Source organism: Homo sapiens, chromosome 16 (assembly GCF_000001405.40).
Source record: "Homo sapiens chromosome 16, GRCh38.p14 Primary Assembly".
NCBI lineage: Eukaryota > Metazoa > Chordata > Mammalia > Primates > Hominidae > Homo > Homo sapiens.
The window spans coordinates 84,214,833-84,241,623 of NC_000016.10; the positions used below are offsets into that span (position 1 = coordinate 84,214,833).

At 51.4% G+C, this 26,791-nt stretch overlaps 1 protein-coding gene across 1 annotated transcript; it reads right to left on the reverse strand.

The window, feature by feature from the left end:
• KCNG4 (potassium voltage-gated channel modifier subfamily G member 4) lies at positions 3,825-25,180 on the reverse strand. The gene is made up of 3 exons (NM_172347.3): positions 24,838-25,180; positions 21,898-22,693; positions 3,825-8,188 (listed from the first exon to the last, which is right to left on the reverse strand). The coding sequence occupies exons 2-3, from the start codon at positions 22,651-22,653 to the stop codon at positions 7,385-7,387; spliced, it is 1,560 nt and encodes a 519-aa protein (NP_758857.1). The 5' UTR covers positions 22,654-22,693; positions 24,838-25,180; the 3' UTR covers positions 3,825-7,384.
• Positions 25,181-26,791: the final 1,611 nt, after the last annotated feature.

Genomic DNA, 26,791 nt, shown 5'->3' on the forward strand with positions numbered 1-26,791 from the left:
TCAAGTACAGCCCTCAGCACTGGATAGAGGCTGGCGCTGGGCGGGGGTTGGGTGGCACAGAGCTGAGAACACCAGGCTAGGTGTTCAGAGACTGGGTTTTGAGTCTTGGCATGGCCACCCCTGGCAGTGTGGCTTGCCAAATTATGAGTCCTCCCTGGGCCTCCACACCCACACCTGTAAAACGGGCAGGATGGAGCCAGTGACCATTAAGGTCCTTTTAGCTCTAAGAATGTGTGAGGCAGGTCGTGCCTAAGCTGGCCAGGGTCCGGAGGGACAACGGAGGGTCCCCTCCTTGTCACAGCTGGAGAGAGATGATGTATGCTCTGAGCCTTGGGGACTTGTTCATCTGCAAGGGGGACATGCTGTCATGCTGTCCTCCTCAGAGATGGTCTGGATGGCTGGCACATACCTGGCCTGCTGTCACATTCTATCTGCCTGCTGGAGTGGGGGCAGGCACATTAATTTCATTTTTTATTTGAATGTCGTTAGGCCAGGCTGGCACTCCCCCAGTCCCCCTTTCCTCCCCTCTCTCAATCTCCACTACCCCGCGAGCATGTCCTGGGGTCACTTCCCCAATACTCCTGGGCTCACCTCCTAAATAAACGACTCGTAGGACATGGCACTCCCAGACACAATGCCCTGAGAGGGACACAGCCTCACTTATGTAATGTCCTGGCCAGGAATGCATGGCCTCAAAGCACCAGGAGACAGCGGACAAACCCAAAATGAGCGTCCTTGTGTGCATGATATATTTGACTCATAATTTCAATGCCATCTAAGTCAAAAGCTGGGGAAATGGTCCAGATTACAGGAGACTACAGAGATAGGATCCGTACATATATCTGGTGTATCCCATCCTAGGCTGGACCCTGTACTGGAGGAAAAAATGCTACAAAGGATATTGTTAGGTCAGCCGACAAAATTGGAACTGACAGTAGATTAGATTAAAGTAGTGCATGGAAGTTAATTGTGCTGAAGCTGAGAACTGAACTGTGGTTCTGTAAGAATCTCCTTCTTCTAAGTATCTATACACCGATGTGTTTAGGGTCTCCTTGGGCTTTCCATCCTAAAATGAGGCAACTGGTTTACTTTAGAGCTTCCTACCCTTTTGCAGGGGCAGGGAGAGGAGTCAAGGATTCCTTTGAGAAGCTGATGAAATTGTTGGACACTTAACACTTCAAAGTGCACCTAAGCCCCAGAGGCTCATAGACCTCTGGAACCTCATGGAAACTCCCAGCTAAGCCTCCTTGGGCTGAGAGTCTTCTGCTAAGCCTTCTGGTCACCACATTCTAAAGTGACATCTAGGCTGGTCATGGTGGGCTCATACCTGTAATCTCAACACTTTGGGAGGTTGAGGCAGGAGGATTGTTTGAGCCCAGAAGTTTGAGGTCAGCCTGGGCAACATAGTGAGACCACATTTCTACAAAAAATAAAAAAATTAGCCAGGCACGGTGGTGCATACCTGTGGTCCCAGCTACTCAGGAGGCTGAGGCGGGAGGATTGCTTCAGCCCAGGAGGTCAAGTCTGCAGTGAGTTACGATTGCACCACTGCACTCCAGCCTGGGCAACAGAGCAAGATCCTGTCTCAAAAAAAAAAAAATCAATTAATCAAAAATAAAGGTGCACCTAGAAAGCTGAGGGCCATGATGTGGGGAACTTACTTTCAAATGGTTCAATAAACATATTATTAACAATACCATGTAGATATGACAAAAATATAGATGGAGCAGGCCAGGCGCGGTGGCTCATGCCTGTAATCCCAGTACTCTGGGAGGCCGAGGAGGGCAGATCACGAGGTCAGGAGATCGAGACCATCCTGGCTAACACGGTGAAACCCTGTCTCTACTAAAAATACAAAAAGTTAGCCGGGCGTGGTTGTGGGCACCTGTAGTCCCAGCTACTCGGGAGGCTGAGGCACGAGAATCACTTGAACCCGGGAGGCGGAGCTTGCAGTGAGCCGAGATGGCACCACTGCACTCTAGCCTGGGCAACAGAGCGAGACTCCCATCTCAAAAAAAAAAAAAAAGATGGAGCAAAGAAGAAAGCAGATGGACAAAATGCAAAAGCAAGCAAACAAAAAAAAGTGGTGTTGAGGTGTTTTATGCGCTATTTTTGTTCTTGCAACTTTTCTGTGGGTTTGACATATTATCCAAGTAAAATGTTAAAAAATCAATTGCTTGGTGACTAGTAATCTTTCATTAGGTGATCCCCAGGATTAGCATGTCACTGTGAGGAAGAGCAGGCAGGGAGTTTAATATGCTGCTGGGGAAAGGCAGGCCACTGAGTGTGTGTAGCCAGCTAGCCAGGTGCTTCCAGAATGAGGCCTCATGGTGGGTGAGGTGCCCTGATGTGGTGGGCGGGAAGTGGAAAGAGATCTCAGTGAACTTACATTCAAACTTGGACTACTTGCCAATTTTTGCCAAGGGAGCAATTTTGTGGATAGTCAAGGGACAGAGTCTGTTTTTCTTTCTCACCTCTCTCCGTGTTCTTGTCTGCCCCTCTCCGTAGTATCAACTGTGGCAATGAGCCCTACTTCCCAGAGTCATAGATTGTCCAAACTGGGAAGGGCTTTAATCCTCTCATCTAAACTTTCCCTGGGATAAATGAGAAAATGAAAGTCTGGTAAAACTGATTTGTGTAACTTTTGTGTAACACAAAGTACGTGGGACACCCGAAGACATCTGCTCAGGACAGCGTGGCAAAGTGTTGTTACCATCTCATCTTCAATCTTTTCTTTGAGGACTTGGACGCTGTTTTACATGAGCCTAAGAGCAGCAGCATGACAGAGTGTTCTGCTGGAAATTGAGATACTTGGATCTAACTAGATGAACTGGCTGTGTGGCCTTTGGGTTGGTGGCCCTCCCTCTCTGAGCCTTAATCTCTCCATCTTTTTTTTTTTTTTTTTTTGAGACTGGGTCTAACTCCATCGCCCAGGCTGGAGTGCAGTGCTGCCATCATAACTCACTGCAGCCTCGACCTCCCAGGCTCAGGTGATCCTCCCACCTCAGCCTCCTGAGTAGCTGGGACTACAGGCACGTGCCACCACAGCCTGCTAATGTTTGTATTTTTTGTGGAGACTTGCTTTTGCCATATTGCCCAGGCTGGTCTTGCGCTCCTTGGCTCAAGTGATCTGTCCACCTTGGCCTCCCACAGTGTTGCGATTACAGGCATGAGCCACTGTGCGGGGCTTCATCTCTCCATTTTAAAATGAGGGAGTTGATTTACTTAAGAATTTGTTGTCCTTCTGGAGGGGTCATTGATTCCCTTGAGAATCCGATGGAATCACTGGACACTTTGCACTGTGACATGCACGTCATCTACAGAGGTGCACAGGTCCCTCGTGGAAACTCCCTGCTCGGATTGACTGTCTTCCAATGAGACTTCCAGTTACCATATTCTAAAGTCCTAAAACCATCGAAACAGAGTCAACGGGTCCCCAGTACAGTCTTGCATACCTTTCATGCTATTGAAGAATTAACTCACCCTTCTCCGTCTCACTTCTTGGGCTCAACTCTGTCTGGCTAGGACACGCTGAGTCAAAGTTTCCCAGTTACCTCTGGCAACCACGTCGACAATACAACACGAAAATGGCTCGCCGTAAAGGGCCGTTTTCTCTTTGCCTTCAGCTGGAAGATGTCCACCTTTGGCTATAGTCATGCCCACTGGCCTCAGAGAAAACAAGAGCTTCTGGGTAACATAAGGGACCTTTCAGCCAACAGGGGTGAAGAAACTGCCTGGTAACTTGCTTGTCACTTCCACCCCATTCAATCAGCACGAAGGAAAGGCAGTTCGGCAACGCTAGACTAAAACAATTTAGACCCGTCTCCTGGGACATTACCAGGGAGAAAAAATAGAGCGTTTAATTAAGCCCCACATGCGAGCAATCAATTCCAATTTTCCATGTCTAATTTAGCAGAGAATCTCAACTGGGTGAACATTAAGACACTATAGAATCTCATAATGGTGGTGGTGCTTCACCTAATTTTGATTTTAAATGTTTCTTTTAGTGCTGGCACACTTTGGTGAAGAGGTCTGGTAGGTGAAGCAGAGGAGAAGGGATATGCCTGGGTAGAAGCCAGTTACAGGGATGGGCAGAGCTGTCATTAAGAAGTTTTCACCAGGCATGCGCACAAAATATGTCTTCGATGAGAAGGCAGGGCAGATGTGGGGGCTGATGTGGGTCCCAGACCTTCCAGTGGCTGTTTAGGCTTTGTCTCTGGTTCCAGAATGAGCTTACCACTCAGTTCAAAGGGCTGGGCTGGACACTGACGGGAAGGAGAGGAGACTGGGGATTTGCACATTCTTTTCAGTGTCATTAATTGCAAATGTTTTGCCCCAGGAGGCAGAGCTCTGCCTGCTTTGCTGCTGGTCTTCTTCATCCGCAGGACAGTCCCTGAGCTTGCTTTGTGGAACCCAGGTCAGAAAACCACAGATCTAGTCCAACACCTGCCTGCAGCTAACTGAGGGGGAAGGGGCCTGCCCGAGGTCACACAGGGAGTGAAGACACTGGGTTTCAGCCAGCGCCCAAGCCAGTCAGTCCCCAGAAAGAGAGTAAGTGGGAGACTTTGTCCTTTTACTATTTTGCCTAAGCGTAGTTATTAAAATGTTAGTCAGGCTTGGGCACGGTGGCTCACGCCTGTAATCCCAGCACTTTGGGAGGCCGAGGCGGGCGGATCACGAGGTCAGGAGATGGAGACCATCCTGGCTAACATGGTGAAACCCCGTCTCTCCTAAAAATACAAAAAATTATCCAGGCGTGGTGGTGGCACCTGTAGTCACAGCTACTCAGGAGGCTGAGGCAGGAGAATGGCGTGAACCTGGGAGGCGGAGCTTGCAGTGAGCCGAGATTGAGCCACTGCACTCCAGCCTGGGTGACAGAGGGAGACTCTGTCTCAAAAAAAAAAAAAAAAAAAATGTTAGTCTGGGCCGGGTGCGGTGGCTCGTGCCTGTAATTCCAGCACTTTGGGAGGCCGAGGCAGGCGGATCACCTGACATCAGGAGTTCAAGACCAGCCTGTCCACATGGTGAAACCTTGTCTCTACTAAAAATATCAAATTAGCTGAGCATTTGATCTCCAAATAGCTGGGATTACAGGTGGTGGGTGCCTGTAATCCCCGCTATTTGGGAGGCTGAGGCAGGAGAATTGCTTGAACCCAGGAGGCGGAGGTTGCAGTGAGCTGGGATCAAGCCACTGCACTCCAGCCTGGCGGACAGAGAGAGACTCTGTCAATAAATAAATAAATAAATAAGTAATAAATAAAATGTTACTCTGGAACAGAAACACTTCTATGGCTACTGTCCAAGGTGCCTGTGACATGGAATTTCTACGCAACGCTTATGGGAATCTGCCTGTCACTTTGTGGAGTGGAGTGGCCATCCAGGCTGGGGATTTTATAGGGTGAAGGGGCTTTCCTTGTGTCATGGCCACTGAACCACTATGTCACCTGGTGACATGTCAGCTTGGGAAAGATTGGGGTCTAAAAGAATGGGGACATGTGCCTGTATAGTTGGGGGGACACCTGGAGGACTCCAAGGAAAGGCAGGCTCGCCAGGAGGCCAAGGCTCCCTGGACGCTAGGTGCTGGTGCAGGGTGCTTCCTGGGCCAGAGCCCTCTGCCACGCTGCTGTCTGGCATTGCCATCAGTGGAGGACTATGCCTGGCACACAGCGGGAAATCGCAAAAAACTAGCAGAATGAATGAACAGCAAGGAACTTGTTACCAGTGGTAAAATGCTGACCACTCTCATACGTACACGATATCAGATTGGCAGGGCCGAAACCACTTCACTGTCACCTGTTTTGATCTTGTGCACTTTCTTCAAGAGTCCTAGAGCCAACAGCAAACTCCTATGTGGGCCATGCCACTCTGGGGAAGTGCCATCAGGATGTCTCCAAGGTGTGTCCTGCTGGGAGAAGCCAGGATTTGACAGAATCTTGCAGGATTAAGCCCGTGAAGGAGGGAGGGCTGTCTTGCCTGAATGGCTCAATGGCTCCTCATCCCAAACTGGGCTTCTCATGCCCAATCCAGCCTCATCATCTCCCTAACCCACAGCCTGTGCACATCACTCTGCCCTCCATAAAGCATTCAAGGCCCACGCCTTCTCAACCCAACCCAGCTGTTCAGCTTCATCTCCTAAAATACACCTCTACTCTCCAGCCCTGCCCATGTCTCTGTGAGGCCTTTGGGAGCCCACTGCTTGGAAGTCATTGCTCCTTCCTGCCTGCTCTCAGAATATGCTGGTTTATCTCCAGTGACTCAGACCTCCATCTGCCTCCTCCCCTGGATGCAAAGGACAGACTCTGTTCACAGATGAATGCAGAAATGAATACATTGAAATGTGAGCTAAGAATGTCTATCCTCCAGCATGGAGATGACTAGTCTGGGAAGCCAGCAAGGGACAGCACCTACAATTCCCCTTGTTTCTGTGCCAAAGCTACATTGAGTCCATGGGGGCTCAGCTGTGGATGAAAAGCTAAGGCCCCTGCAGTGTGGGAGCAACCAGCAGCAGGAACGATCCTCTCAAGGGACAACATGGACCCTGAAAGAGTTTGTCTCTGTCAAGGCTAAGGACTGGATAACTGGAGAACACCACACCAAGAGTCCAGGCGGCCAGGGAGGGCCTGGCTGTGCTGGAAAGTGGAGTTTCTGCCCAGGTCCCAGGTCCCAGGTCCCAGGTCACAGATCCCAGGCATGCCTGGGGATGCCTGCTCCTTCTTGAGCTCCAGGTAAAGGATGGCAGGCTTGGGGGCATCAGCCTCAACATGAGATTTACTGCAAAAAGGCTGATTCTGCCTTCTTAGCTACAAGTGTTCAGAGCTGGCGGGAGGTAGCAGCATTAGGGAAATATCACTGGTGGTGGTGAGCAGAAGGAGAACATATTGATCCCTCTGGAACCCGTGGAAAGGTTGGGTGGGGAGATCTGATTAGAGGGGTTTGCAGTGACTGGACCTTTGATTTCCAGTGGTGGCATGGCCCAGGAAGGAGGGTCTTAGGGAAATCATGAAATTACATAGGCTCAGTATGCAAATACCAATGGTTACCAGTTCTATGGGCATCCAGAACCCAGCCTGGGATGTTAAAGCCTCTGCTGGGAAGGAAAAGAGAATGAAAGGAGACTGAGCTACTCCAGCAAGATTGGACATGCTCAGTAGATGGGCAGAGAGAGGAAAAGGCAAGCAGGCTGGACACAGTCAGCCTGGGACATCGGGGCCCCGAGGGACAAGGATCACAGACACACAGCCTCTGTGGCCTTATGCCCCTCCAGCTTTGAAAGTCTTCCCTGGGCTCTAGAAACACCACCAGGTGGTCTATGCGGGGTACCCTTGAGTGTGTTTCAGGCAGGGTGATGGGTTGAGGTTACCATGTAGTCATGGGGGGTGCTGAGTTACATGTGCATGATAGGCAAGGCTGGGCCCTCCAGGATTAGGTCATTGACATCGTTCATGAGCTCATGTTCACTGGCCACATGGGGGTCCAGGAGTTCACATTCACTGGCTGGACCGGTGTTTTGGAGGTGGCGGAGGCGGGCCTGAAGCTGCTCCTGCTCCTTCTTGAGCTCCAGGTAGGAGTGGGAGAAGGTGTGGAAGATAGACGTGGCCGGGAAGGCCATGATGAGGATCCCGCTCAGGATGCTGCTGAGGGCCACCATCTGGCCTGGCACACTGCGGGGCACCATGTCCCCGTAGCCCACCGTTGTCATGGAGATGATGGCCCACCAATAGGAGGCGGGGATGCTGGTGAACTCCAGCACCCGCCCGGACTCCTTCTCGGCCACGTAGACCAAAGGGGAGAAGAGGGTGATGGCCACGGCCAGGAAGAGAAGGAGCAGGCCGAACTCACGTGTGCAACGGCGCACGGTGAGCCCCAGCGTCTGCAGCCCCAGCGAGTGGCGAGCCAGGCGCATCACGTAGAGGATGCGCAGCGCTCGCAGCACACGCAGGACCAGCCCCACCTTCTCCAGGTAGGAGCTCCCGCTCGGCCTCTCGCCGTCCTCCGGGGGCTCCTCAGACACCGCCAGCGACACGTAGTATGGGGAGATGGCCAGGATGTCGATGATGTTCAGGGGCCCCTGGAAGAACTGACACTTGTCTTGGGCCTGGACAAACCGCAGGCAGAACTCCAGGGAGAACCAGGCCACGCAGATGGTCTCCACGATGAAAATATAGTAGCACTTCCGAGAGCATTCGCCCTGCGGGGAGAAGAGGCAACAACGCGGGGTAGAGAGTGGACTTGCAACTGTGCTGGAAATCGGGGGACGACTTCATGCCCATGAGCTTTGTGCTGTAAACTTAGTCGTCCACCAGAACCTCCTTTTACACAGTTTTCCAGTTGTGGCTGGGTACACAGCAGATCGGCTAGGTCAGAGACTGTTCTTTCTGGCTTCCCTTGCCGCTAGGTGTGGCCAAATATGACTAAGTCCTCACCTCCGGACTGGAAACAGAAGTGATGCAAACCACCTCTGGATCTAACTCTTGCACACTCTTTCCATCCTTCCTGTGAGCCGGGACAGCACAAATGGGCCTGCAACCCAGCTAAGAAGAGAGGACTGGACCAGCGCCCCAGGGGAGGAGGGAACATCAAGGCGGGAGAATCTGGAATAAGAGTTGTCGATACTCACCTACATCCCTCACCTTGGGACTATTGCACAAGAGAAAAATTTGGCTTAAAACTATTCTAGTTTGGGGTCTCTTTGTTATAGCTGCCAGCCTGTACCTTAATGATGTTAAGTACCTTGGGGGACCACGCACTGCTCTCCTGCTGTCACTCAAGCCACATAGCAATGTTATGAGCAGGCAGTGTGACCCCATTTGATGGCCCAGGAAGTTGGTCACAGCAGTGAAGTGACTCGCCTGAGCTCACATACATAGGAGGCGGTACCAGGGTCTCTTAGATACTGTTGGCTATTTTGTAACTTTGTTGTTTACCACCCCTCATTCATTTAGCTAACAGAAATGTATGGAGGGCCCACTTTGTGCCAGGCATGGTTCTAACCCCGGGCATTCTGTGACTAGACAAACAGATATCGTTTCTGATGGCTTGAAGGCTGGTGGGGCAGAGAGGGTTCCTGAATCCCCAAGACAGCCCTTGGGATGTGTGATTGCTGCCATCGACATGCGGGATTCTAGCTCAGCAGTTCCAGCTGGGCGGGGGCCGTTCTGAGTTCTGTATTTTGTTCTTCCTCCCCAGTAGTTCAGGGTAGTTCCACCAGTCCTTCTGCCACTCAAAGTGTGGACCTTGAGCCAAAAGCATCAGCCTCCCCGAGGAGCTTGTTAGAAACACAGCATCTCAGGCCCCACCCCATCCCACGGAATCATATTCTGCAGTTAACAAGGTCTCCAGGTGACTCATGCAAACTGAAGTTTGACAGGCACTGTTCTAGTGTGTGGTTCTCAAGCTTGGCTGCATGTTGGAATCACCTGGGGGTTCCTTGAAACATTCTGTTGCTTGGGCAGGGTCCTCCCAAGATTCTAATTTAATTAATGTAGGTTTGAGCTGCACAGTAGAATTTTCCAGAACCCCCATGGATAATTCAAATGTGGAGCCAGGGTAGAAAACTTTGCTATACATATTTACACACACACACACACACACACACACACACACACACAGATATGTATATTTGATGGATGAATGGATGAATGGCCAAAGCAACTTCTCTGTGTAAAAGGCAAGGTGTTGACAACCACAGTTTTCTCTGGATTAAAATGCTCTGAAATGGAAAAAGAAATTATTTCCAGTGTCCACAGAAATCATAAATTGAAATGTTCTTTATGCCTGGCTGCTGGAGAAAGAGAAAGAGACTGAACCACGACAGTCTCTATTTGCCTGTCCAGGGCAGGGCACCTTTCTGGCTGGACTTCTGTGTGGACTATTGCAGGGGTGGGAGTCAGAGGCAGCACTGCCAAGGGGTGGAGTCCAGAGTGTTCCAGCCTCTTCTTTGGAAACTGAAGCACAGAGAGGGTCAGTGGCCAGTGCGAAGCCACACAGCAAGTTTTTAGCAAGATTGGAGAATCAGGAACTTTCTGTGCCCTACCAGCCTTCAAGCCCCCCAGAAACCATGTCTGCTTGTCTAGTTACAATACTCTCAGAGCCTAGCGCAGTTTCAAATCCCATCTCTTCCACTTACTTGGGCAAATCACTTGTCTCCTCTGGACTTTCAGTTGTCTAACCTCTGGAGGGCTGTCATGATGAATGGAAATTATGCACATAAAGCCATTAACAGGACCGTGCACCTAGCAGGCACAGGATGCGCTGTAGCCATTTTAACCGAACTATACATTGGTCATGGACCACAGTCTCCTGGTCAGTGTAAGGGTAGCAATACCTTCTTCCTGTTGCTGGATATTACAGGAAGATGAGGGGATTCTCCAGCCCACCGAGAGGTCTTTGCCATGACTGCCCAGGGTTTGCTTCAGGATCCTGAAGGGCTCAGAAGTTTTGGGTTCTGATTCCCCAGCCCTGCTACAAACTTGCTGTGTGACTTTGCAGCGGCCACTGGCCCTCTCTGTGCTTCAGTTTCCAATGCAGAGTTTGGAACAGAATTGGTATTTCTGAAAGCTGATTTGGAAACCCTGGCACCAGAAGCCCCCAGGGTGCTTGTTGTAAATGCAGATTCTTGGGCCCCCATCACAAAATCCAAACCTTAGGGTGGGGCCCGGGAATCTACATTTTGGTAACTCCCCCCATTCACTCTGAGGCACCTGGAAGGTTTTCAGACTCTGAGCTAGATTCTGCCTACAAGGCCTCTCTCTTTGCAGACATCCTGGGAGTTTCTCCCTAGGCTTAAAATACTTATAGCCTGGGAATAACTTTTCCATACTGATGACCCGATAGCTCAGGAAGGTGACTCCTGAGAGGCCGAGAAGGCGCTGCCAGGTCCTCCTCCTGCCTGTGGGGCTGGCATTTGGACACTCAAGCCATGCACACCGGCTCCTGCCCTCCCACGGCCTGGCCCTCTGGCCACCTCTCTGGACTGCAGCAAGGGCTCTGCTCTGCCGCGTCACTGCACCTGCATCAGGCTCTGCTGTGCATCCTAAATCCAGCCTCCCAGCACTGGTTCCTCAGAAATGCTGGCATTGGGGCAGGGGGTGTTTATGGAGTGTGGGCAGAGGAAATAACTCCCAGCTTAGCAAACATTCGAAGAAAAGAAAAAAAGGGGAAAGAAGGAAAGAAAAAAGTTTTCCTTTCTCCCTTTGTGGAAGTTCTGTGCTTAAACCCAGAAAGTTCCGGGTCCTAGGAACCCCCTGGGCCCTGGGCACACCGGGATGGTTGGTCACCCTATTCCTAGCCCTTGCCACAGGCAGAGCGAGGTGTGTTCTGGCTCCTTCCTGCAATGAAGAAGAGCAAGCGTCAGCCTGGAGAAGGCCCAGGGTGTGAATGGTGAAACAACACCGATGAATCCCACAGGCATGATGTGGAGCAAAGCAAGCCGGGTGTGTGTTTCCACTTGTGGGAAGCTCGAGAACAGGCAGCCTCATCTAGGGTGCACAAAGTGATCAGAACAGTGGCTGCCTCTGGGTAGTGTAGGGATGGCCTGTGAAGGGCCACGAGGGAGCTTTCTGGGGTCACAGAAATATTCTATACTCACAGGGGAGAGGCTGACACGGGTGCATCCGTTTATTAAATTCTACACCTAGGATTTGTGCATTTCAGTGTATGTACATTTCACCTGTAAAACTGTAGAAGAAAAATAGTAACAAATGATTATAAGTGATCTGAGGTGGAGAGGGGATGGAAAGAGAGGAAACAAGAATGGCAGAATATTGGCTGGGCACAATGGCTCACGCCTGTAATCCCAGCACTTTGGGAGGGCAAGGTGGGTGGATCACCTGAGGTCAGGAGTTCGAGACCAGCCTGACCAATATGGTGAAACCTTGTCGCTACTAAAAATACAAAAATTAGCCAGGCATGGTGACACATGCCTGTAATCCCAGCTACTTGGCGGGCTGAGGCAGGAGAATGGCTTGGACCTGGTAGGCGGAGGTTGCAGTGAGCCGAGATTGCACCACTGCACTGCAGCCTGGGCGATAGAGCGAGACTCCGTCTCAAAGACAAACATACACAAAAGCGGCAGAATATTGACCATTGTGTGTAGCTAAGTCATGGAGTCATGGTTTCCCAGAAGTTCCTTATATTATTCTATTTACCTTGTAAATGTCTGAAGTTCTCCATGATGAAAAGTTAAAAAAAAAAAGGATAATCAAAAGCACAATAAGACACAAATTGACATCCACTAGGATGGCTAAAATCATAAAGACAGACAATAGCCAAGTGTCGGTGAGATTGTGGAGAAACTGGAACCCATCACTACTGGTGGGGATGTAAAATGGGGCAGCGGCAGTGGAAACAGTTTGGCAGGTCCTCAAAAGGTTAAACAGAATTACCATGCAACCCAGCTGTTCCACTCCTAGGTGTATAGCTCAGACAAATGAAAACACATGTCCACACAAAAACTTGTACACAGGCCGGGTGTGGTGGCTCACGCCTGTAATCCTGGCACTTTGGGAAGCCGAGGCGGGTGGATCACCTGGGGTCAGGAGTTTAAAACCAGCCTGGCCAACATGGTAAAACCCCATCTCTACTAAAAATACAAAAATTAGCCAGGCATGGTGGCAGGTGCCTGTGATCCTAGCTACTCGGGAGGCTGAGGCAGGAGAATCACTTGAACTCAGGAGGTGGAGGTTGCAGGGAGCCAAGCTTGTGCCACTGCACTGCAGCCTGGGCGACAGAGCTAGAATCTGTCTCAGAAAAAAACAAAACAAAACAAAACCCAAAAAAACTTGTACACAAAAGTCCATGGTAGTATTATTCATAATAGCCCCAAAGTAGAGACAACTTAAACATCCATAAACTGATGAGTGAATACATAAAATGCGGCCTATTCATACAATGGAATAGTAGTCAGCCATGAAAAGGAATGAAGGGCTAAATCGTGCTACAACATGGATGCACCCTGAAAACACGATGCTGAGTGAAAAGAAGCCAGACACAGACACGACATGTTGGATGATTCCACTTATGTGAGATGTCCAGAGCAGGCAAATCCACAGAGACAGAAAGCAGAGGGGTGGGTGTCCGGGGCTGGATGGAGGAGGAGGGTAGCAGTGATGGCTGCACAGCTCCACGATGATACTAAAGACCACCGAATTGTGCACTTTAAAAGGGCCAATATTGTGGTATGGGAGTTATCGTCGGAGTCTGAGCTGGCTGAACACTCCTGGGGGAGGCAGGAAGTGGAAGTAGTGGGGGTCCCACAGCCTGGCCCTCACCTGTTTCACGCAGCAGCAGAGCGGGGCTTCCTGAGGGCAAAGCTGCTGCCCTGGGGGCCCTGCAGATGCAATGCAGGCCAGTTCTGGAAGCTCCATCTGGGAGGGGCTCAGGGCCCACAGTCTTGACCTTGGAGACTTCCTCGCCCCCTCTGTCCCTCCCAGCAAAATGCTGCCAGCCCCACTTCAGAACGTGGCCACCTCTCACTTCTGCAGCTCCTTAGTCAGGGCTGGTCCATTCTGCAGCTCGGCATCCCTCCCTCCCCTCCCTCCTGCTGTGAGTTCACCATTTGTGCCTTTGGCCCTGGCCCGAGGCCCTGAGCTGTTTCCTCTGAGGCTCTCCTGGGGCCTGGATGTGCTGACTCACTCCTCTGCCCACTCCTTTAGCCACTTTTCTCTCGGCCAGCCGTGCCCTCCGCTACCCTCCCCTCCTTTACTCCGCTCCCATGGGCCTCCCCCCAGGCACTACTCACCCCGAGCCGCAATCCCTCCTCCCCAGGTCTCCCCGCCACCCCCCCGCCCACTCCTTCTAGCAGCTGTCCCCACTTCCCAACCCTGGGACACAAGGGCTCTGAGAGTGCTGGAACCAACCGGACGGGGTCAGCCCCACCATGGGACCTGGCCGATGAGTCATCTCTCTGAAGGCGTCTTCCCTTCTGTGAAGTGGGGAAGGTAACTGTCATCCCACAGGGCGATTGTGGGCACCCGGGAGACCCGCTGAGGGATGCTGCAGTGTAGAAGCTTCCCAAATCTACGCTGCTTCTCTTCCTCCTCAGTCCTCTCCCGCTGCTGCCCTCCGGTTCATGCCCTGTGGCTGATCCATCACCGGCTCTCCACGGCCTTCACCTTGGGCGGGTTGGATGGCTGACTTCTCTTCTAGAGGTTCCAGCAAATTCTTACTAGAAAGCAGCTGCCACTGGGCTGGGCATGGTGGCTCACGCCTGTAATCCCAGCACTTCGGGAGGCTGAAGTGGGCAGATCACTTGAGGCAAGGGAGTTTGAGACCAGCCTGGCCAGTGTGTGGAAACCCTGTCTCTACTAAAAACACAAAAATTAGCCTGGCGTGGTGGTGCACACCTGTAATCCGTTACTCGGGAGGCTGAGGCATGAGAATCACTTGAACCCAGGAGGTTGGAGGAGAGCCGAGATTGTACCATTGCACTCCAGCCTGGGCAACAGAGCAAGACCCTGTCTCAAAAAAAAAAGAAAAAAAAAAAGCAGCTGCCACTGAGGGAGCATTACTAGCTTAGCTGCTGTCAGGCAAGTTGCATAACTTCTTGAGACCCAGTTTTCTGATCTGTAGAATGGGATTGTGGTGAGGATTAAATTAGGAAACAGGGAAATGACTAGCACAGGGCCAGGAGCCCAGCAGGGGTCTAAGAAGTATCCACTGACTCTGAATCTCACAGCGGTTCTCCCCGTGTGGGGAAGGCGGGCCGCCATCCCATCGCCTCTGTGCTGGTGTCCCGTCAGCAGTCACCGAAGGAGAGACCTAGGGACTCTCCCAGTGTCCAGCACAGGCCCGGCCTGCAGGGGCCCTTCCTGAACGACTCATGAATGAGTGTGGGTGGTGGCGTCTGCATGGGGCATTTGCGGGGGGCTGGAGTTGGACCTGCAGAGGTGGGGGGACTGTGAGGAGGCAGAGGAAACAGTGTCACCTGCAGAGCATCAAGGAGGCCCCAGGCCAGGAAACAGGGAATATTGCTTCTTGGCTGGGACATAGGGAGAGACACAGCTGCAGGAAAAAAACAAAAGCAACAAAACTAGGATAAGAAGCATTCGCTAGAGCAATTACCAAATGCCACCAAGCACAGAGAAGCTCCAGAGAGCAGGCCAGTTTTTTAGGAAGCTGATTCATGGTCCGAGAAAGGGACAGATGAGGAGGCAGGAGCTGGCTCTTGTACAGGGCCTCTTACTAAAGGGTGAGGAGGCAGGGAGGTGGAAATGGCACCCCAAAAGGTGAGCTGCATCCCGGGGAGGAGGCCCCAAGAGTCCCGCCTGGTCTTTGAAAAATCTCTCTCTGTGGGCCAGGCATAGTGGCTCAGGCCTATAATCCCAGCACTTTGGGAGGCGAAGGCTAGTGGATCACCTGAGGTCAGGAGTTCGAAACCAGCCTGGCCAACATGGCGAAACCCCGTCTCTACTAAAAATACAAAAATTAGCTGGGCATGGTGGTGGGCGCCTGTAGTTCCAGCTACTCGGGAGGCTGAGGCAGGAGAATCGCTTGAACTCAGGAGGCAGACGTTGCAGTAAGTTGATATCGCGCCACTGCACTCCAGCCTGGGTGACAGTGAGACTTCATCTCAAAAAAAAAAAAAAAAAAAAAAAGCCAGGCATGGTGGTGGGCGCCTGTAGTCGCAGCTACTCAGGAGGCTGAGGCAGGAGAATGGCGTGAACCCGGGGGGCAGAGCTTACAGTGAGCCAAGATCGCACCACTGCACTCCAGCCTGGGTGACAGAGCAAGACTCCGTCTCAAAATAAACAAACAAAGAAAACTCTCTCTGTGCCTTCCTTCCCCTGCCCTCCACCTTAGTAAGACACTGAAATGTCTACAGTCCAGGATGAGAGGGAAGGCGAGGACCAAAGAGCCCGTGCAGTTCTGCTCCCTAAGCCCACCATGGTTCTGCAGAGACATCACCAAGGGCACCTTACTTGGTTGCCATAGGGTGTGCATGTCCCTCTGACAATATCCCTGAAAGCCCCAGGCAATGCTGTGGGGCAGGCGTAGCACCCAAGATGGGAGGAGAACAGTGGGAAGGCCGGCAGGGCTGGTCCTGCGCGTGGCGAGTTCGCCTGCTTCTCCCACCGGGTCTCCAGCCAGAGCAGGCTCTCAGAAAAGACGCGCTGACAGCCGGAGCAGAGGAGGAATGAGGGCAGACACTGGAAGGGGATGGAGAGGACATTTGAGCCACCGGCCCCTGACTTGGCCATTGCTATTAGGTTGGAGGGAGCCAGGGATGGAGGCTGGTGAGCAGAGCAGCAGAGCAGGTCCAGGGGTGTGAGCCCAGCCCCAAGGGGGAGCAGAACAACAAGCGTCCACTCTGTGCTGGCCCCTGATATACAGGTTCTCGTTCAGTCCTCAGCACCGCCCTCTGAATAGTGTTATGATTGTCCTCTTTGCTGGGTGAGGAAATAGAGGCACAGAGAAAGAAAAGGACTTGTCCAAGGGCAGAGCCAGGGAGTGGGAGAGCTGGGACTCAACCCAGGACGAGCAAACTAAAGATGCTGGCCCTTACCCTGACCTGATACTATCTGCAGTGGTTGGGATGTCTTAGTAGCAGGAAAGAGGAAGAAAGACAGTCCACTGCAGGTGGCCAGTGGTGTTCAGGCTGCCAGGAGGGAGGGAAAGGCAGAGCTGCCCGGCCAGGGCTGAGGCCACATGGAGAGGGTGCGAGGGATGCATGGCAGGGAGGACAATGAAGGCAGAGGGAAAGGAAGAACCTGGGAAACTGCAGCAAACAGACCAGGACATGAGGCTGCAGGTGCCCAGGGCTGGAAGGGCACTAGGGACCAGTCAGCCTGTAAAATGACAAGTCCAGACCATCATTTTACCAGCAGAAGGTTGAGGTCCAGGGGTAGACGTGACCTGCCCTGGATCTCCCAGTGCATTCAAGTGAGAGTCGGGGTCGGGCGTGGTGGCTCAAGCTTGTAATCTCAGCACTTTGGGAGGCAGAGGAGGGCGGATCACCTGAGGTCAGGAGTTCGAGACCAGACTGGGCAAAATGGTGAAACCTCATCTCTACTAAAAATACAAAAATGTGCTGGGGATGGTGTTGGGTGCCTATAATCCCAGCTACGTGGGAGGCTGAGGCAGGAGAATTGTTTGAACCCGGGAGGAGGAGGTTGCAGTGAGCTGAGATCACACCACTGCACTCCAACCTGGGTAACAAAAGCAAAACTCCATCTCAAAAAAAAAAAAAAAAAAAGAGTCAGGACTAGATCTCGAATCCTGCCTATTGAAAGGGGTCTGTATGGCAGCCATGGGAACAGAATCTTGGCTTCATGTCTCAAATCCATCTTGTTCCTTGGAGGTGGGGGTCGGTCTTTGGAACGTGTCTTTCTATCTTCAGCTATCAACATGGAGCAGGCCATCAGTGCTAGATGGATAAACCAATAGTGGCATATACATACAGTGGAATAGTATTCGGCCATGAAGAGGAATGAAGGTCTGACGCATGGCACAGTGCATGGACCTTGAAGACATGATGCTGGAGCAGGAAGCCAGTCACAGAAGACCACACCTGGCACGATTCTGTTTCTATGAAATGTCCAGAATAGGCTAATTCATGGAGATAGAAAGCAGATGGGTGATTGCCAGGGGCTGGTGGGAGAGGAAGGAGGAGAGACTGCCTAGTTGGGACAGGGTTTTCTTTTGGAATGCTGAGAAAAAGCTTTGGAACTAGACAGAGGTGATGGTGGCTGCAGAAGATTGTGATTGTACTAAATGCCACTAAATTGTTCCCTTTAAGTTGCTCAATTTCATGTTATGTAAATGTCAACTCAGAAAAATGAAGCAGGGGGCTGGGGTGCAGTGACTCACGCCTATAATCCCAACGCTTTGGGAGGCCGAGGTGGGAGACTCACTTGAGCTCAGGAGTTCGAGACCAGCCTGGCCCACATGGTGAAACCCATCTCTACAAAATGTACAAAAATTAGCCAGGCGTGATGATGCCTGCCTGTGGTCCCAGCTGCTCAGGAGGCTGAGGCGGGAGGATTGCTTGAACCTGTGAGTCAGAGGCTGCAGTGAGCTGAGATTGTGCCACTGTACTCCAGCCTGGGGGACAGAGTGAAACCCTATCAAAAAAAAAAAAAAAAAAAATAGAGCAGGGCTGCTCAGAATCTAAGCTCCAAGGAAATCAGAAATTTGTCTTCTCTCCAGCACCCAGAAGAATGGACTTTAGTAGGCAGTCAATGACTGTTGTTGAAGGATGGTAAAGGATGAATGTTTGGTTTCCTGTTAACTACTACTGAATGAATGAATGAATGAATGAATGATGATCAGTATGACGGACTTTCGCTGAGCACCTCCGTGTTTCGGCCTGTCCCAGCTGCTTTATGCACCACATGACCCCTTGAGGGAAGTGCTTAGAGCACCCCCATTTCATAGAGGAGGAAACTGAGGCTCAAGGAGGTTAAGTGACTTTCCCAAGATCACTGGGTTAGTCATGGGTGAGGCCAAGATTGAAACCCAGGACATCTGGCCTTCGCACCATCATGCTGGCCTGAGAGCTGTTTTACAAAGTCTGGCTGCCTTAGAAGCACAAAATGGCCCTGAGGCTGAGGTTCTAGACTAGAGGCGAAGTGGCCCAGAATTGAAAGTTAGGGCTGGGCACGGTGGTTCATGCTTGTAATCCTGGCAGTTTGAGAGGCCAAGGCAGGCAGATCGCTTGAACTCAGGAGTTTGAGACCAGCCTGGGCAACATGGGGAAACCCTGTCTTTACAAAAAATACAAAAAATTAGCTGGGTGTGGTGACACCCACCTGTAGTCCCAGCTACCTGGGGGGTTGAGGTGGGAGGATCACTTGAGCCCAGGAGATGCAGGCTGTAGTGAGCTGCCAAGATCATGCCACTGCACACTAGCTTGGTGATAAAGTGAGATCCTGTCTCAAATTTAAAAAAAGAAAGAGAGAGAGAAAGAAAGAGAAGGAAAGAAGGGAAGAAAAATAAAACGAGGGTAGGAAGAAAGAAAACAAAAGAAAAGGAAAGGAAAGAAAGATGGTATCAGTGTTGTGTAGTCATAGGGGGTCGGATTTTAGAGCCAATCAGAGGTGAGTTCAAATCTTAGCTCTGCCTTACTGTGAGCTTAAGAAAGTGATAAAACCTCTCTGAGCCTCGGTTTCCTCATCTGTAAAATGGGGGTAGAAGTGGTATTCACTTCCCTATGCTGCCACAGGGATGAAATCAGTCCACGGTGTGAAATGCCAGCCTCACGAGCGGCACTTAGGAGGCATCGGTTCTTTCATCCTTTTGGGGAAGAGTCCCCCCTGGGAAATCCGGAACTTTAAAATCCGGTGCCCCTTAGAAGAGCTCAGGTGCTGGCTTGGTCCTTCCTGTCTACACTGCCTCTTCCCTTCTCCACTGTAATTTTTTTTGAGATGGAGTTTTGCTCTTGTTGCCCAGGCTGGAGTGCAGTGGCACAATCTTGGCTCACTGCAACCTCCACCTCCGGGTTCAAGCGATTCTCCTGCCTCAGCCTCCCAAGTAGCTGGGATTACAGGCACAAGCCACCACACCTGGCTAATTTTTTTTTGTTTTTTTTTAGTAGAGATGGAGTTTTACCGTGTTGGCCAGGCTGATCTCAAACTCCTGACCTCAGGAGATCCACCCACCTCGGCTTCCCAGAGTGCTGAGCTTACAGGCGTGAGCCACTGCACCCAGCCTCCATTGTAATTTGCAATCTCTGGCACAGACCTTTTACCCCACTATCAGGTTTATGCCAACGGACGTTGCTATGAGAAGGTAGAAAAACAGAAACTGCTTACAGCAAATGTCCATCCATTGTTTCTGTTTCTGATGGAAGAGTTCTGTGGGTTATAGCCCTGGGATCTGTTCCCCCACCCATCGTGACATTAATTCTTCAGCGTGGATGGTATCAGGGTCAATTTACAGGACACTGGCCCCAAACTCAATGGGCACTGCCTGTCCCCAGAAGCAGCTGGTCCCTCTCAGATTGACATTCCCTGAGGGCAAATAAGGAATACAAAGCACGTGTGTCCAGGAAGAGGACATCATCCTTTTACGTAAATGTAAGGTCACCGTCTTGGGAGAACAAAGACTGCCCCGTCCTCAGCCTCCCTGCTCTCTGAATTATTATCTAAACGGAAACACAGACACTCTCTGGGCAGCACCTCAGCCTGTCTCTGGGCACACACACAAAGATGCTTTCACTAAGGAGAAAGCATAAAGATATTGTGGCTGGGCCCGGGCATAAATCTCTCTTGTCCCAGGAGGAGACGTGGCTGCCTGATCCTCGGCTGAAACTTTGGCTGCGCAGGTCTGCGGGCCCACCTCTCCCCTCTAATTTGATTTCCTGAGTCACTGTTAAGCCAGGCCTGGGTTCATACCCTGCGTAATTTTCAAAGCATTAGGTTTTGAAAAGATCTTGGCCGTCTGCGCAACCGAAATCCTGGCTCCTACACAATTTCTCCCTTCTCTGGAAATCTGTAAGAGGAACAGGCTTGTGAGCATCCAGGGGCCTTTCTTTATTAACTGGGATCAGGGCACCCTTAAGAAATGGGGTAGGGAGGTCACTTGTTTTGTCTTAATCTTTGTACTGCAGAGTCCACACATAAATATTTCTGTGAACAAGCAGGCTCTTAAATCTCATGTTTTTATGCTGTAGAATGAAAAAATGCCTATGATTGGCATTGTCATCTTCTCCATGGGAAAACAAGCTGTTTAAAGGTCCAAATATTTTGTGGGTTTTTTTAGGGCCAAACTTTTGTAGGTTGGACAAGACACATTTTATTCAACCCATATTTACTGGGATCCTACTGTCTGTGAGGCATGGGCTGGTTCTCCATTTAAGTCTTTTCTATCTGGCAAGTTCTCTGATCCTGTTGTCTTGCCCTGGGACATATCTTTAAGCGAAGAGAACTTAGGTGGGCTGGCAACTGTTAGGAGCCAAATAGAGCAAGCACCATCTTACGTATGTGTTTAGTTTCTCTCTCTGTTGATTACAAGGCAAGCTCCAAACATTAAGATGATGGGCAGCCCTGGGGGAGCTCGGTGCTGGAGAGGAGTGATTTTTTAAATCAGGAAACAATCTAATTCTCTGTTTGAAGCTTTCCAATAACCCTCTCAACCAAATGCTAGGTTCTTATTTCACTTCTCAGACCATCTGGCTCCCGAGTGGAGGGAGGGTGTCTCGGGGTCTCCTGTAACTCCCTGCAAAGGGGACGAAGGTGTGGGCAAGCAGCACTTTTTACTCTGGCCTCCTGGGGCAGAGTGACTTACAGATCAGCTCATCTGTGAGTTTCCCATCCAGTGAGACTGGCCCAGACACTGAGCACTGCAGGGAAACTGAGGCCGGGGACCTTTGCATCATTGGCATCCTTACTGTGGAGCTCCGAGGAAAATAAATGGCCCATGCCTCAGTTTCCTCATCTGAAAATGGAGTGGGGATGCCCAGGAGAATGTTAGCTCAAGAAGGCAGGGATTTTATGTTTTTGACCTGCTCTAGGGCTTAGCACAGAGTGGTGTTCAGTAAACACATGTTGAGTTCACTGGGTGAGTAAACCTTCGAGGTGATGTTACCCATTTCACGGAGTGGGAGACAGGCTCAGAGAGGAGGTGGCGTGATTTGCCTGTAGTCACAGACTCGGGAGAGCTGGGAGAGGTGACACTGTGTCTGTGTGGCCCACTGAGTCCACGCATGGCTGAGGGCCACGTAATGATTTTCACGGTGAGCCTTAGGCACTTTTGCCTTTGCAGGACTCCAATAAAAAAAAAAAAGATGGAAAATTATCTTTTATGACTGATGGCCTAATAATGAATATAACCCATGTTGGATAATATTCATTTTTTTCTTCTTATTTTAAGATCTGAAGACATTTTCTTGGGCCCCTAAAAGACATCTCCGCCCAGGCACCCTGCGGGATGGAGCCGTGAATGCCATCAGAGGCCGCTCACCTGGTCCTCCTCTGCCCTGAGGTCGGGCATGGTGCTGACACACAGGCTGACGGCTGTGGTGGCCACGAAGAGGATGGAGAGGCAAGCGAAGACCTTCCCGGGCAGCCCGGACTGCGGGTTTTCCACCATCTCGCGCAGCCGGTTCATGCACAGGCCCCAGCGCGAGGAGTGCGAGGCGGGGCGGCGGGTCTCCCTCTGCTGCCTCAGTACGTCCTCCCTGTGCAGCTTGGCCAGCTCCTCCAGCTCCTCCAGCTTCCTCAGCAGCTTCCGCAGGCAGCACCTCTCCAGGTGGGCCTCCTCGATGCCCCAGTAGGCCAGCTCCTCCTGGAAGGACAGCGCGCACATCTCCTGCAGAAGCACCAGCTTCCCGGCCGCCAGGAAGCTCACGATCACCCCGAAGGCGCTGGGGCTCCTGTCGAAGAAGAACTCCTGGCTGTCCTCGTCGTAATCATCGCAGAGCTGCACGATCTCCTCGTAGCTCCGACAGAGCCTGAGTTTGCTCAGGCGGCTCAGCGGGAACCGGTCCAGTGTGCTCCAGGGGAGGAGATACCTCCTGCCCCCCACGTTGATCAGGATCTCCTTCTTCAGGTCCACTGGGGAGGCGTCCAGGGCACCCACCTTCCGCACCCTCCGGTAGTAAAGGCCCTTGATGGACGGCGTCTCCATGGGGCTGGACAGGAGCTGACTCCAAGGGCTGTGGGAACCATAGTGGTGGTGTCTGGGATGCAGGCCCCCGTCTCTGGAAGGCATGGGCATTGCTGAAGACCACCAGGTAGGAAGCGCTGGGTTTACCAGTCTGACACCCAAGGGACAAAGAGCAAGCAAAAGGAAGGGAAATCAGTCTTGGGGCAAAGAGTCCTGGATGTCACGACTGCAGATGTTCTTACGTGTGCTTTCCTGTGACTGCATCTGCATGGCTTGTTCTTTTAACCTTTAGTTCAACACATATTTATTGAGCACCTACTATGTGCTTGGGATACATCAGTGAAAAAAACCCTTCCCTGGTGGAACCTCTACCGACATCTCAGAAGGATGTCTCCAGAATAGACGTTGCACGGATGGGGGCTTGAGTAATTCAGTCCTGAGCTGGACAAGTCGGAGCGGTGCCACTTCTGGGCTCTGTGGTCTCAGGTATGTGGCTTAACCTCTCTGATCTCAGCATCATTCATTCAAATGACAAGACTCATACTAATCTTGCAAGGTACAGGTAGTAAAAATAGAGCTTAAGAATGTAGGCTCTCAGGTTCACTGGCAGGGACCGATCCCTTACAGACTGCCAGCACAGGTGGGTTACTCAGTGTCTCTGAGTCCTTTGCTTTATCTGTATGACTGGGGCAGTCTGAGTGCCCACATCGTAGGGCATGGCAAGGGTTATATGCAGTAATATACAAGAAAGTGTGTATTAATAATACTTCTAGATGCTTCTGACATGCCTGGCTTCCCCTAACTCACCTCAACAACCTCATGAAGTAGACATAAGAGCTCCACTTTATAGATAAGGAGGCTGACGCACGGAAGGTTTGCGTGTCTTGCCTACTGTTTAGCAAGCACCTGACATCAGGAAGGTTCAGCGAGGGTCTGTTATTAAAGGTTCGAGTAGCCCAGGAATGTGACTATGCTTAGCGAGCATCCAAGCATCTAGGTCTCAGGAGGAACTCCACCAGTCTCGCTTAATCCCTCTTGGTCGCTTCCCCATTTGGGGAGGCCTTTGCTAAGGGGACGGAGGAGCATTGCGTACTTGCAATCACAGTACTCCTCCATGTTCGTTGCGTGCTTGCCTCAGCCATCCTTGCTGTGTGACCTCCAGCCAGTTACTCCCCCTCTCTGGGCCCGCAGGCTTTTATGTGCAGAATGAAGGGGCCTCCAGCCGCAGTGGTTCATGCCTGTAATCCCAGCACTTTGCGAGGCAGAGGCAGGCAGATCATCTGAGGTCAGGAGTTCGAGACCAGCCTGGCCAATGAAACCCTGTATCTACTAAAAATACAAAAATTAGCTAGGCAAGGTGGCATGTACCTGTAGTCCCAGCTACTCGGGAGGCTGAGGCAGGAGAATCGCTTGAACCCGGGAGGCGGAGGCTGCAGTAAGCCGAGATTGCGCCATTGCACTCCAGCCTGGACAACAGAGCGAGACTCCATCTCAAAAAGAAAAAAACAAAAAAAAATGACGGGGCCTCTAATGCTGTCTCCATTTCAGACCTATATGAGGTGCTTGACTTAGTGTGAGTGTTTTAGATTTAGCCACTTCACATATTTAAAAAGTCCTTTTCATAATATTTCTCACCTTCAGATCCTGCAACCATTTCTTATGCTATTCATTCTAGCCAAAGCCATTTCCAAAGCATCTATAAGCTTACATTTTCAGATGCACTCCACTCCAATCAAGAGAAAAACTCGGCAGTGGAACGGAAATCAAAGTTCCTCTCAATTTCAGAGCCGGTTGGATTCCGGTGGATAGTGGAGAGTGAATCGTAACCTATTTCACACTCTTGCTCCCTACACAACATTCTGTTGCTCTGAATGCATTACTTTGCTCACAGGGAATGGCCAGAGGAGGATGAGGAGCCTGCAGAGAGAAGAGTATTTTGAAATCTGGGGAGCCCTTTGCAAGCTTCCTCATTTTCCCAGTGCAAAAACCAAGACCCAGCGAGCGGAAGTAACTTGTCCAAGGTCACACAGCAAATCCGAATCCAACCCAGCACTCTGTCCCCCAGCCTGGGGCTCCTTCCAGAACCTGAAAACTGCCCTTTCTGCATTCACTGAATAAACCCAATTTTGCCATCTACGGCTCTCCAAACAGCTGGCAAACAGCTCCTTCTGGAGCACGGGAAAGGAATTCACTCAAACCAGCACTTTTGCCAAGGATGTCTAACAGCGTCAACTTCCCCCTGGCCCCCGCCCACCCTACAGCAAGCAGTAACTCTTCCCCTCCAGTTTAACTCACCTTCTTGTCTCAGGGAGCCAGTTTCCAGCTGTTTCTCTGCCAGGCAAGGGGAGCCCATCTCTTGGTGCCCAGGGAAGGGACAGGTTTCTGGTGGAGATGAAGGGGAAGAAAAAAATCCCCAAAACAGCAGTTTCTAGCAGAGTCAGTTTCCAATCTTTCTTCCCGTGCCTCCTCCAGAAACCAGAAGTTCATTCATTCTGCATCTCTCTCTCCAGCAGCTGCAGGAGAGCCCTGGGGGATTGAGGTGGGATTTTTTTTTTTTTTTAAAGGACCCAGAAGTCCCTTTCCTTATGAGAGATGAGGGTCTGGGGGTTCTTGCTGGGAGGGAGCCAGGGCAGCTGTCCTGGTTGAGCAGCGGACTCTGCACTTCAAGTCCCACGGGGACAGCCAGTGTGGGGGGGTGTGGAATGGGAAGGGCTTAGAAATAATCTCTCCATCAGCCAGCAGCAGGAAGAAGCAGCAGCCGCTGCCACTCTGCCAACCGCCTAGGAGGCAAGGGGAGCTGTCCTCCCTCCTCTGGCATGGAGGAGCACAACTCGGGAGGAGCAGAGGGCAACTTGGGGCCGGAGGCATCTGCAGCTACCTGTCCCAGGCACCCCAGAGTCTCTCGGGGTATGCTGATGATGGTGACAGGCTCAAGTTGAAGCTGCAGGAGGAACTTTTTGCTGCTTTTAAGCAGCCCAGGCCTGGGACAGGTTCAGACAGAAGCCCAGGCTCTGAGCGCTGGGTGGGAGTCAGGGGGGCTGTGTTACAGAACAGCAATAGGAAGAGCTCCGAGCTTGGAATTCACACACATGCCTGGATCCTGGCTCCTATGTGAAAGGCTGGGTGACCTTGGCCAGGTGAGTTAGTGCTTCTGAGCCTCAATTGTCTTGTCTCTAAAACATGGGAATGAGAGAGGGTTCAGGGAAGGTCAGAACCATAAGTGCAAGCTCCTGTGCTGGTTGGATGGTTGGGTGGGTGAAAAGGAAGAGGCATCAGTCCAGGGCCTGGGTGTGAACTTGGACTCTGCACTGCCTGGCTGTGTGTTCTTGGTCAGTCACTTCCCCTCTCTGGGCCTTGGGTTTCTCAGTCAAATGAGGACAGTGAAACCAGCGATGGCTGCAATTGTAAAACCAGCATCTTGTAGTTGCTCACTACACGTTGACTGTTCTTCACTTTCTTAAGAGGTTTTGCAGCCCAGGCTCTTGGCTTCTGAATGTGTTATCTTCACTGCATTTGATAGTTGAGGCCCTGAGAAGAGGCTTGCTCAAGGTCATCTTGCTGGTTAGAACCATCACTTAGGCCGGGTGTGGTGGCTCACAGCTGTCATCCCAGAACTTTGGAGGCGGAGGCGGGCAGATCACAAGGTCAGGAGTTTGAGACCAGCCTGGCCAACGTACTGAAACCCTGTCTCTACTAAAAATACAAAAATTAGCTGGGCATGGTGGCGGGTGCCTGTAATCCCAGCTACTCGGGAGGCTGAGGCAGGAGAATTGCTTGAATCCGGGAGGCGGAGGTTGCAGTGAGCTGAGGTCGCGCCACTACACTCCAGCCTGGGTGACAAAGTGAGACTCTGTCTCAAAAAAAAAAAAAAAAAAAAAGAACCATCACTTAACAGACGCTTGAGTTTTGATGGGAGGATCCAGGAGTGAGGGAGATTAGAGGGTGAGCCTTCCACAGCTGCCTGCAAGGGGATGACAGGTGCTGCTGACCTAGGTGGGCTCTCTGTGGCCTTGGCAATGGGAACGAATCCAAGCAGAGAAGAGAACTGACTGAATGGAGGTCCATCTGGTATTGCGGTTTTCAAATGGTATTGCTTGAAGCCTTAGGGCTCTGCAGAAATGATTGAGGGGCCTGGCCTGGGGCAGTGACAACGGGGAGGATGAACCCCTGGACCTGCTACCTCAGCCATGGCAGCTGCACTCTGATCTGTCTCCATAAGACTGTAAGTGTAACCCCAATAAAGGCTGTG

Excerpts from the sequence above, each read along its gene's own strand:
- KCNG4 (NM_172347.3), bottom strand. The coding sequence starts at position 22,653 with ATGCCCATGCCTTCCAGAGACGGGGGCCTGCATCCCAGACACCACCAC. Across the intron at positions 8,189-21,897 it reads TCAGGGCAGAGGAGGACCAG|GGCGAATGCTCTCGGAAGTG; the intron begins GTGAGCGGCCTC and ends TTCTCCCCGCAG.